At 48.2% G+C, this 12647-nt stretch overlaps 1 annotated feature.

Annotated features, from left to right (window-relative positions):
* Positions 2156–2325: an enhancer, noted in NCBI's record as "experimental_1667 CRE fragment used in MPRA reporter constructs". NCBI's record gives its function as "activates a minimal promoter by MPRAs in K562 erythroleukemia cells, with activity observed for both the introgressed and non-introgressed 1:20429185 variant alleles {active_cell/tissue: K562}" and the evidence as "EXISTENCE:reporter gene assay evidence [ECO:0000049][PMID:34662402]".

The raw sequence follows: 12647 nt of genomic DNA, 5'->3' as shown, positions 1-12647 counted from the left end.
TATCACCCCCACTATCCCCACTTCCCCTACTCGCAGCACCTGGAGCAGACAGAGACCTGTCTCCATTGCCAACCCAGGGATGGAGCAGCTGTTCACACCAAGGTTTGTCCATCCTCTGTAGACACGGCTCCCTGGGCTGCCAAACTAGAGACCACATTCTAGATCACCTGCACCCAAGCCTGCGAGGTTTCATCTGTCAAGTAGAAGATGGAGGAGGACTATGCTCAGAGCTCAGCTTGCCACAGGTCACCTTCCTGAGGCCTGGTTGAATATTTGCTTTTGGGTTTTTTTTTTTCACTTAATCTAAATTTATTTTATTTTATTTTATTTTTTGAGACAGAGTCTTGCTCTGTAGCCCAGCCTGGAGTGCAGTGGCACCATCTTGGCTCACTGCAACCTCTGCCTCCCAGGTTCAAGTGATTCTCCTGCCTCAGCCTCCCCGGTAGCTGGGATTATAGGCATCCAACACCACACTCAGATAATTTTTGTATTTTTAATAGAGACAAGGTTTTGCCATGTTGGCCAGGCTGGTCTCGAACTTCTGACCTCAGGTGATCCACCTGCCTTGGCTTCCCAAAGTGCTGGGATTACAGGCGTGAGCCACCACGCCTGGCCTAAATTTATTTATTTAAGGGTTTATTTAAGAAGGAAATTCATATCCCTCTGGCATAGGGAAAACAAGTATCGCTTGTCATAAACAGAGGGTGACCATAAAAATAAATATAATTTCACTTAGAGAAAGGTGCCCCCCACGCCTTGCACCAAGGAGAGAAGAGTGATTCTTATCCTTGAAGACGAATTTGCCTAAACTGACCTCACTACAGTAGCTCTTATCTCGCATTAGCTCCCCATGTCTTTCCTAGTCACTTCCCCACAATTTATTGTCCCTCGAAGCCCAAACCCACTTTCCTTTGTTAAAAGGGTACAGAAGCCCTGAGCTTTTTCATTCTGGTCACTTTGGTGTTGATGGGGAGTTGCAGGTCAATGTCAGGGAGAAAGACTTTTCCTCTACTCTTTTATTTTCTTTTTTTTTTTTTTGTGATGGGGTCTCACTCGGTTGTCCAGGCTGGAGTGCAGTGGCACAATCACCGCTCACTGCAGCCTTGACCTTCCTGGTTCAAGCAATCCTCCTGCCTCAGCCTCCCAAGTAGCAGGAACTACAGGCGTGCACCACCACAACTGGCCTTTATTCTCTTATTTTACTGCACTGGGGCCCTGTGAATGAATAACAAAAGACCTATTAGCAGAAGAAAAGGCACTAAATTTCTATTGATATTTAGACACATGAGAGTTCACATAAAATAAGTAAAATTCAAAGATGGGCCCTTGGGACACTGTCCACACTGAGACCTGCTCAGTGGCGTCCAGCACCAGGAAAGCCCTGGGGCGCACAGAGGAGCCACGGTCCCCGTCCCATGAGAGGCTCTGTATTACGGCCGTGGGGAACCAGCTCAGGCTGGCGGGACTGCCCCAAATGCCAGGATCTGAGAGCCTGGTTCAAGTTCTGGCTTCGCCACTAACTTGGGGGCAACCTTAGGTGAGACACTTTTCTCTCTTATCTCTGGGTTTTCCACTCTGTAAAATGAGATGTTGTGAGGTGCAAATTGGGTCATGGATTTGAAAACACTTTGAAAAGCATAAAAATGTGAAAAGGTCTGTGTAGAAGGGAAGTCTGTAAAATGACTCTTTAGAACTTCTACTAGAGGTTCAATAGGACAGTATAGCTGTCTCCAGATAGAGTTTCTTAAGACAGTAACAAATGTGACCATTGCTTGTAGATCTGTGCAGAAGATGTAACAATGACTTGCTTGCAACCCACAAGTTTATTTGAAACCTGAGTAATCTCAGCATCCAGCAGCTGGTTCACTTTGATTTACAGGAAACCAATTATGCAACATTCTGAATTTACTGGATCAACAGTTTAGAACTGATGACTCAAAGAGACATGGTAACTAAAGAATTGTCAGGTTCTCTGAATCAGGCTTGCCCTGATTTAATGAATGAGTTGTTCACTGATTCTTAGAATCGACCATTTTGGAATTGTTGCATAGGTTATTTTGAGTTCCAACTTTTCTTTCTGTAAGGTTTATCTCACTATCCCCCAACTCTTTTGCTGGGCCAGGAATACGTCACTGCCAGGGCATTAACACAATGACCCCAAATTATTTTAAAAAGGTTAACCAAATTATAGGCGTTGTATTCAGTTCAAAAAGGCAAAGAGGTGCATAACACATTTAAAGAAAATGTTCTATCAAAAGATGAAAAATGTTTTAAATAAATTTTTATCATTTTATTTTATATGCAGCAAGGTCTTGCTCTGTTGCCTTGGCTAGAGAGCAGTGGTGCAATCACGTCTCACTGAAGCCTTGATCTCCTGGGCTCAAGCGATCCTGCCACCTCAGCCTCCGGAATAGCTGGGACTACAGGTGCACACCACTGTGCCTGGCTCATTTTTAATTTTCTTTTTTTTTTTTCTGTAGAGATGAGGTCTCACTATGTTGGCCAGGCTGGTCTTGAACTCCTGGCCTTAAGTGATTCTCCTCACTTGGTCTCTCAGTGTTGAGATTGCAGGTGTGAGCCACCATGCCCAGCTTAAATACATTTTTAAAGGAGAAAGCTATAAAATGTCCACATTAGGGGGATGATGATGGTGATGTTTTGTTCTTTACTCTTTAGGAGGGTGCACCTCCCATCCCTCTACCCCTGAGTAGTGCACAGTCCCAAATTTAGAAACCTGGAAAATTAGTACCAGGACCAAAGCTTGTCTCAGCCTCTGGGGATGTCATCAGGTATACCTGTGGATATGTGTGAATAGATCAAGTAAGCTTTGCTCATCTCTTGGTGCAAAATAACAAAATAGCATGTGTGAGTGGCCCATACGGCCCCCCAGGGCTTGTACCCCTTCCCAGTGTCCCACAAGTGACCACCGGTTGCATCACTGGGGAGCTGGTTGACAGATACAGATGTCCAGGCCCTAGACCAGCCGTGTTGATTCCTCTTGGAGCTCTGGTCATTCTGATGCAGCCCTTCTACCTGTCAGTCCCTGGGACAGCCTCAGAATCCACCAGGTCCCAGCTTTCTCCTCTCCCCTAGGCCTGGATTCCTTCTGTCCCAGTGGAGGCTGTGCCTTGCCACTGGGGAGAGGTGCTCACTGAACAGGAGTCACGAGGTCCCCCCTGTGGGAGAAGGGGGCTGAGAGACTGTAAATCAGAGCCTTTACACACAGCGCATGCCAATCTCTGCTGGCTTTGGTGGAGATGGAGCCAAGGGGCTCATGGCAAACTGCCACCTTCCTGCTTAGACATAGCTGCTTTCGTTTTTGTTTTTGAGACAGGGTCTCACTCTGTCACCCAGGCTGGAGTGCAGTGGCATGATTACAGCTCACTGCAGCCTCAACCTCCTGGGTTCAAGCAATCCTCCCACCTCAGCTTCCTGAGTAGCTGAGATTACAGGTGTGGACCACCACACCCAGCTAATTTTTAAGTATTTTGTAGAGACGGAATCTCACTGTGTTGCCCAGGCTGGTCTCAAACTCCTGGGCTCAAGCAATCTTCACGCTTTGGCCTACCACAGTGCTGGAATTACAGATGTGAGCCACCACAACCTCTTGGTTCAACTCAAAATGCTTTCACTGGCCTCCTGTTCTCATCACAGTGTGGAGTTCTTGCTTCTTGCATGTCAGTCCCTGAGAGACTAACAGGTGGTGGTGGAGATGTGGTGGCCTTAGTGCCTAGCCCAGGCCTGGCACACTAAATGTGTGTTGAAGCACTAACTGCGAGTGTTTGAGCGGATGAATCAACAGGATGATGTGGGAACCAGAAGAGAAAGGAGAACCTCTGCTGGGGAAACAGGGGAAGTGCACGAGGCAGCCTACGGGGAGGGAGGGATTTTGCCGTGGGGTAGGGGGACAGGCGTTCCAGGCAGAGGGCACCACCCAGGCAAGGACTGGAAGTGTCGACATGCGCCACTTTGGGACCAGCTGCAGGGCTGTGTGCCCTGGACCCAGCCTGGATCTCCCCACAGGTGCTGTCTCCCGCATGATTGCTGCTACTCCCTCTTGACACCTCACCAGCGCTCCCCTAAGTGGCACCGATGCAATTCCAGCATCACCGGTTGCCACATCCAATGTAGTGAGTGCTTCATGGGGCAGCCTGGGAAGATGAGAAGAGGGGCCACCTTCTGCCCCAGACACCTGTCTTGGCCCCTAGGACTTGGGTTTAGGGCGAATGGCTGGAGTCAAAACTCTTGGGCTGGCGTTTGGTGGTCCTCTTCCATGACAGGTGCCATTGATTGAGCACCTACTGTATATAGGGCCCCATAGCGGATGCTTTATGTGCATTGTCTCATCAAATACTCCCAGCAACCTAGTGAGGAAAGTGTCATTAGCCCACTTGACAGCAGAGACCACTGAGACTTAGATAATTGAAATCACCTGTCTGAGGTCACACGGTGAGGAAACACACAGGGCTAAGATATGAGCCCTGATCTGATTTTAAGGCCCTTACAACACAAGCTCTGCGTGATTTAAACTCAGTGGCTTGGATGTCTGTCCCACAGAGGAGCCAAATAGCTGTGCTTGTGTGGCTAGTTCCTGCGCTGAGTGGTTAGTGAACGTGTTGGGACTGATGCTGTCAGAGGCTTGGAGATTGCAGGCCAGAAGCCCAGTTCCATTTGTTTGTTTGTTTGGGATTTTTGTGTGTGTTTGTTTGTTTGTTTTTTGAGACAGAGTCTTGCTCTGTTGCCCAGGCTGTAGTGCCGTGGCACAATCTTGGCTCACTGTAACCTCCATCTCCTGGGTTCACGTGATTCTACTGCCTCAGCCCCCCAAGTAACTGGAACTACAGGCACCCACCACCACACTTGGCTAATTTTTGTATTTTTGATAGAGACCAGGTTTCACCATGTTGGCCAGGCTGGTCTTGAACTCTTTACCTCAGGTGATCCACCTGCCTCAGCTCCCCAAAGTGCTGGGATTACAGGTGTGAGCCACCACACTCAACCTCAGAAGCCAGTTCTGATCTAATGTTTGAAGACAAAAGAGAAGGATGAGGGGGAGTCCAGGGACATTAAGCCCCAGGGGAGCCTTTGGGGGTTTGTTTAATTAAGACTAAGACACTAAAGCCACTCAGACGCCTGCAACTTCAGAGCCAGAAGGGCCCTGAAAGGTTATGGGAATGAGGCTTTCTCAGATCCTTTTGAAGGCAACCCACAAAATGTAATAAAATTGACATCTGGACCCAGTCAACCCACACATACACAGCCAGCATAGGCACACGATGTGCTGAAGCAGCTCTTTACTACTTGTGATATATTAACACACACATGTGCACACACACTGGATGCAACCCTCTAAACTGATTTCATGACCCACTAGTGGACGGGGATTGCAGTTTTTAAAACATGATCTATCAATTCTTCTGTAAAGATGAGAAGCCGAGGCCCATGACAGGTAAGAAGGCTGCCCAAAGTTAGTACTTGCGCAAAGTCATGACTAGAGCCTGGTGTTTAGTTTCTTTTTCTTTTCTTTCTTTCCCCGCCACTCCCCCGCCCCCTCTTTTTTTTGAGATGGAGTCTCACTCTGTTACCCAGGCTGGAGTATAGTGGCACGATCTCGGCTCATTGCAAGCTCTGCCTCCTGGGTTCACACCATTCTCCTGCCTCAGCCTCCTGAGTAGCTGGGGCTACAGGCACCCACCAACATGCCTGGTTAATTTTTTGTGTTTTTAGTAGAGATGGGGTTTCACCGTGTTAGGCAGGATGGTCTCGATCTCCTGACCTCGTGATCTGCCCACCTCAGCCTCCCAAAGTGCTGGGATTACAGGCATGAGCCACCACGCCTGGCCCCGAACCTGGCATTTAGTTTCTAATACTTCTAGTTACCCAAAACTGTGGTTAATAGAATGTTAGCCCATCTTAGTATGTATGAGGTACTTGGATAATTTGGGGTACAAGACACTGAACTGGACCTCACAGCTACAGAGGGTCTAATTCTGTGCTTCTGAGGAAGTTCAGAAGGTGCTTGAAATGCCTCTGGCCAGTAGAAGACCCAGTGGGAGTCCTGGGGGGCCAGTCTTCCCCCAGACCAGGTTTTCTGTGTTGAGTTCCTAATTCTGACTTCTGCCTCTCACATTGTAAAATCTGACTCCTGGGTGTGGTTCCCCAGAAGACACAGCTGTGACCCCTGCCCTCTGGGCACCACTGATGGCAGTCATGATGTAGAGGTATGCATGGGATTTAACTCGTGGACATTTACTGGGCGCTCCCTCTGTGCCAGGCCCTGTGTCAAGCACAGTGGAGAGTGATGAGAGCAGCGAGGCCTAGGCTCTGTGCCAGTGGGCCCAGCCTTGGGATTTGCAGGGACCCAGGCTCAAATCCCCACTCTGCCCATCTCTGATTGCATGGCCTAGGGCACACGTTCAGCCTCAAATTGAAAGTTACTCCCCCATTAAGTGGGATGATTACACTTAGTTGTTGGGCTGTTGGAGATTCAATGAGATAACCTGTAGGAAAGTCCCTGGCACCTGGTAGACAATCAGCAGGTGGTAGCTCTTATTATTGTTACTGATTTTAAAAATGCGATTAGTAGCTAGAGATAGGGGATGAACATTCCGGAGGGGGAAGAAACAGCAAGAGCAAGGGCAGAAAGGTGGGAAAACCAGAGCAAGAGCAGAGGAGTGGAGGTTTGGGAGGTGGGGAATAACTGGGAATTCAAACTGGAAAGGCAGTGCAGCCACAGCGAAGAACCTTAACTGTCAGGCTGAGGAACTTGGCAATGGGAAACCACTGAAGGCCTTAGAGGAAGGGAGTGATGCAACTGGAGTTCATGAAAGAGAAGGTGGCCAGCAGACCCTTGATTGATAATATTAAACCCCTGCCAGGGAAGACACTGTATAGTTGTGGGCTTTCTAAATTCAGCAAGAAAAGGGGCCCTGGCACCATCCTGGGAAGGTCTTGACACCTGGGTCAGGGTAGAGGTGGGATGGTCTGTCTGTCTGGCCAGAAGTGAGAATCCAGATTTCTTCCCTGGCTGGTCCAGGTTCTGGGAGCAAGTGCCAGAAGCAGATCTGCAAGTGTGACCTGAAGTTGGCTTCATGAGTGCAGCAGCACCTGGACACGTACAATGGTTGGAAGCTCATTTTCAGCAGGAAGCCATGCTAGAAGATGACACTTCCCTGTGGGACACTGGGGGACTGAGTTAAAGACTCTGAGCCCCCTGAGGACACCACCTAGCATGCCAGTCCTAATGCAATGCCCATCACCTTACCCAGCCAAGCCCAGCCCAGGGAGACCTCAGGGACAGTGAGGTCACCGGTGAGCCCAGCTCTCATCCAGACTGCCCACTGCAGATGTCAAAATCCCACAATCACTGTATTGTCTGCCCAACTCATTGGTTCTCTCTGTTTCCACACTGGTATGTGAGCTTCCTGAGGATAGGAGCTGCATCTCAGTCATTTACTTATTTATTCAGTCACTCATTCATTCAACAAACATTTTCCAAGCATCTGCTATGGTCCAAGCATGCTGGCATGTTGATACAGGCACTGGGAAGCCTGTAGCAACCAGGATTTGATATAAGCAACAGAACTACTAGGAGATACCTATATATAAAATAAGAGATGTATTATAGGGATTTAGCTTGCTGTGATTATGGGAGCCAGTAAAACAGTGTGGGTGGGGCTGTTTCTGTTTGTGCTAGTGCTGTGACCTGCAGTCCCGTGTCCCAATTGGCAAGGCAGAGTGGAACTACAAGGATGAGTAGAGCTCTATGAGGACAGACAACGACACCCTTCAGCCTCTCGCTACCCCCACGTCTTCCATGTTGATGATGCAGTGTCTTCCAAGGGAAGCCAGTGCCCTTCATCATGGAACCAAGTATGCTCCTGGCTCCGAAGTAAGAGGAGCTGAAGATCCTCTGCCAGGACCTGGAGTTGCTGCAGCTCCCAGTGCTTCCCCGCACTAACACCATGAGCCAGCACATAAGGGCCAGCATACATTGGCTGCAACAGCATTTCATGCCCTGCTTCGACTATGAGATTGTAAAAATTAAATTACTCCATACCAGTTTCCAAATCTTATGCAAGACATCTCTTGAGACCCATGCTAACCTGGAACTCTGCAGGGAAGGGAATTCTAGGAAATGAAACTTTGGCTTAGTTAAGTGAAATAATACAAACCCCCAAGAGTCCACCCCTTGTTGACTTGGCACCCATATGCACCTCTCCCAAATAAAGGCAATAGCAAGATCATCTTCCTGCCTAACATAATGCAGTTTTCCCTGTATACAATCTAACAAGCTATCCTCTCCCCAAAGTGGATAGAGGATACAAAGTTCTCTTATCCATCTCAATTTCTCATTTCTATTCTAGTTGAGTGACAATCCCCTTTTGATATCCTCTGACTTGAATATTGAGATATAAGGTTAACAACACTGATACACCTTATGTAAACAGCAGCACCCGAGATGGGGCTGCAATGCTGCAGCCATCCACTGTCAGGGAATGGTAGCATATGTGGAGAGCCATCTGTAAAACAGGCCCGGGTCTTTTTCTTTCTCCTGCAATTGGTCACAGGGAACTCGCCATGAATTCATAGGTATAGGTGAAGGAGGAGGCTTGTGGCAGGCACTAGGGCCATGGGCATGCTCACACAACTTACTTGGGCCTTCAGAAGCTATTCAAGCCCGATTTCACAAGACCATTTCCATTTGATTATGCAATTGCTGCTATCCATGCTGAACTTTGTTTTGATGGGCCTGTTAACACCCAGTTCATGATAGGCAACTCAGGTCTCATGATAACTTGGTAACCTGAGGTCAAGCATTCAGTGTCTACCAAGACCTGCTGGCAAGCCAGATACTGTTTCTCAAAAGGAGAGTAGTCCTCTGCAGTTGATGACATGGCTTTGCTCCAAAACCCTTAAGGTCTGCCCTATGCTTTACCCACAGATGCCCCTCTGAGCTTCCATGTAGCATCTCTATGTGCATATACACGTCAAGCACCATTGGATCTGCTGGGTCATACACCCAAGTGGCAGAGCCACTTGCATGGCAGCCTGGACCTTTTTGTTCTGGGCCCCACTCAAAACAAGCAACTATTCAGTTCGATTGGTAAGTGGGTTGAAGTGGTACTTCATTGGTATCACTGGTAAATGGTACTTCAGTGGTACTTTGACCTGAAACATGAGCTACTCTCTAAAATCTGAAGTGCCCACAAGGCACTGTGCTTCCTTCTCAATAGATGGGAGGGCCAGATGCTGTGACTTGCCCTACCTTTTGAAAGGGATATCTCAACATGCCCCAGACTAAAGAACCCCTGGAAAATGCCACTGCAGTAGCAGGCCCCTGAATTCTTGTGGGATTTCTCCCCCCTAAGGCAAATACATGTCATACATGTCATCACCAATGCTGACGTCCTGTGGGATGCAAAGATAATCAAGGTCCCTCTGGACTAGATGATGGCATAGAGCTGGAGAGTCAATGTAATCCTGCAGTTGGAAAGTGTAAGTGTATTGCTGTCCCTGCAAGCTGAGAGCAAATGCTTCTGACAGTTTTACTAATAGGTATAAGGAAAAAGTCATTCTGCAGTGGAATAATTAAAAAATAGGTGCCAGGGGATGTGTTGATTGGCTCCAGCAACAAAACTACAGCAGCTGTGATTGGAGGCATTGCTTGATCAAATTTGCAGTACTCCACTGTCTCTCTAACAGGCATCTGTCTTCCATACAGGCAGGCAAAGAAGCATTCATGTCCTGTATGCAGATTTTATTTTGTAGAGGCAGGGCCTCATTATGTTGCCCAGGCTAGTCTCAAACTCCTGGGCTCAATGAATCCTCCCACTACAGCCTCCCAAAGCACGAGGATTATAAATGTAATCCATCATGACTGGCCCTGTCTGTGGATCTTGAGTGAGATTTTAAAGACTTGAGACCATCACTTTCTTTTTCCAAGTTCTCCAACCCATAATAATATTTTTGTTTCCATTAAAGTGCTCTGTGCCATCAACTACTTGGTCACCCTTGAACAGGTGTGGACAGAGGTGATCATTTAAGTAGCTGTTTTATCTCTTCAGGCTGTGGTCAATCAATGTTCCCCTTACTACTAAAAACCAGTCATTTATGCCTTTAAATCTAATCAAATAAGAAAACCAATTCCAGATGCAATTCAAAGAGCCCATCCTTCAAGCTGTTCCTCAGAAACCTCTCCTAGTACCAAATTCTGAAGAGGTTAAGGAGTTCAGGCAGAAAGGCAGAAGTACTCTCATACGACAATACTTTTTTGGTAGAGATTTGACCTGGTACGGATGGGATTGCTGGCTTAGTCCTTCATAGGAGGCTGTTTCTCCTGTGCCTGGTGCTACAGCCTGAAGTTAGCAGGGCAGACAGTCTGAAACGGAAGATGGGTGTGAAGGGGCAGGGGAGAGCAAGGACAAATTGGAACCTGGGAGGATGCATGGAGCCCAAAAGAACAAACAAGAAACAGATGGGTCTCAATACCTTCCACCCTAGTTTCACTGCCTGTGCACCCTGCAGGGGAAGTTGGCTCCCTTACTTACAGAGCTAAACACACATCTGGCCCAAGAGTCAGAGAAATTAAAGAAATCCAGCAGGCTCGCCCCAGCAAGGCGAGCCAGCAGATCCATGATCCATGGGCCTGAGCCACAAACACAACATGCCCTGCTCCCAAGTGTAAAGAGAATATGACTGCACTTCCCATCTGCCTCCCAAATCTCAACAAAACATCTCTTTGGGCCCTAAACTACAGCAACTAACCAGAACCTAACCCAGAACTCTACAGGGAAAGGAATTCTGGGAAACATAGCTTAGCTAAAGTTACACAATCCAAACTTGCCACACCCACCCTGAACAAAACAAAATGTGTTTTCCTCAGTGCCTGTTGCAAGACCTGGCCCCAGCTCCAAGCTTCCCCTGCATGATGTTCTACTAAGAACACGGTTTTGGGCCGAGGTGGGAGGATCGCTTGAGGCCAAGAGTTTAAGACCAGCCGGGGCAACATAGCAAAAGCCTCAGCTCTACAGAAAAATAAAATTATCAAGGTGTAGTGGTGCATGCCTGTAGTCCTAGTAACTCTGGAGGCTGAGGTGGGAGGATCATTTGAGCCCAGGGGTTTGAGGCTGTAGTGAGTTATGATCACGCCACTGCACTGCAGCTAGGTGACAAAGTGAGACCCTGTCCCTGAAAAAAAAAGAGACCACAGAACATGGCTTTGGGATCAGACAGACTGCTTCCTTCCCACCTCTCTTCCTTATTACCTGTGTGGTCTCAAGCAAAACACTTCACTTTCCCAGTCCTCAGGTCCCACCCATCACATGGGAATGAAAACAGCAGCCTCACTGGGCAGTTAATAATGTCTACATGGTGTCCCGCACAAAGAAGAAACTCCAGCCAGACTCGCTGGCTCAAACCTGTAACCCCAGCACTTTGAGAGGCCGAGGCAGGCAGATCACCTGAAGTCAGGAGTTCAAGTCAACATGGTGAAACCCTGTCTCCACTAAAACCACAAAATTAGCTGGGCATGGTGGTGCATGCCTATAATCCTAGCTACTCGGGAGGCTGAAGCAGGAGAATAGCTTGAACCCAGCAGGCAGAGGTTGCAGTGAGCCAAGACCGTGCCATTGCACTCCAGCCTGGGTGACAAGAGCAAAATTCCATCTGAAGAAGAAGAAGGAGAAGGAGAAGGAAGAGGAAGAAGAGGAGGAGGAAGGGAGGAAGAAGAGGAGGAGGAAGAGGAGGAAGAAGAGGAGGAGGAAGAAGAAGAAGAAGAAGAATATCCATACACCTCCTACCTCATCAGCCCACCTTAGCTCTGTCCTCCTCCCTTCCATCCTGATCAGTGGGCTTTACTTGAGGCTTTTTCAGTTTGGTAACAACTACAAGGGGGCTCCCCGCTGCCCAACCCCTCTGTAGATATGCTTATAGAGATCATTTTACTTATGTTTGGAGGCTCACATTTGTGCCTGAAGCCCAATTCAGATGACAGTAAAGGATCTGTATGTACAGGGCAGTCTGTCCATTAAGGATGTATAAAGATCTAGCTAGGGAGGCATTGCGATCTGGTCTGTATGTTTCCCTAGCTTTCTTAAAATGGGATGACCTCCCTGATGGTTCTCCTGCCAGCCAAGGGATCAGCAAATGCAACAATTGAGGAGAACGCCTTTCCCCAAGTTTCGAGGCTCCCTTTGCTCTCATAATTTCCCCAGAGCTGTTCACAGCAGCCAAGGTGGAAGACAGCAATGGGATCTCCTCCACTGAGGATGAAGCCCAGAGCCCCAGACTGACTGACCACCCGGGGACAGCCTCCAGAATCCAAAGAGGCAGTTGCAGCAGGGAAGACATGGAGCTGGCCCTCAGCTGGAATCCAGGGGTTCCCCTGACGAACCCCTAATGTGGGTGACTCCCTGAACTGCTCCTTTTGTGGGCTGGGGTTGAAGGCAATGTGGGATAGTGGCCAGAGCCCAGAGTTTAAAGCTAGGATCTGAGATCGAATCCTACTTCTGCTGTTGATGTGCTGTGTGACTTTTGGACAGTCTCCTAAAACTTTCTGGGCCTCAATTTCTTGGTAGATAAATGAAGGTTCTCCATGGTTCCTTCCAACTCAATCCCACACCAGCCTGTAGTGTTGCCTTCATAAC

Source organism: Homo sapiens, chromosome 1 (assembly GCF_000001405.40).
Source record: "Homo sapiens chromosome 1, GRCh38.p14 Primary Assembly".
NCBI lineage: Eukaryota > Metazoa > Chordata > Mammalia > Primates > Hominidae > Homo > Homo sapiens.
Note: the sequence above shows the minus strand (reverse complement) of the source record. Positions and strands in the feature narration are given on the sequence as shown.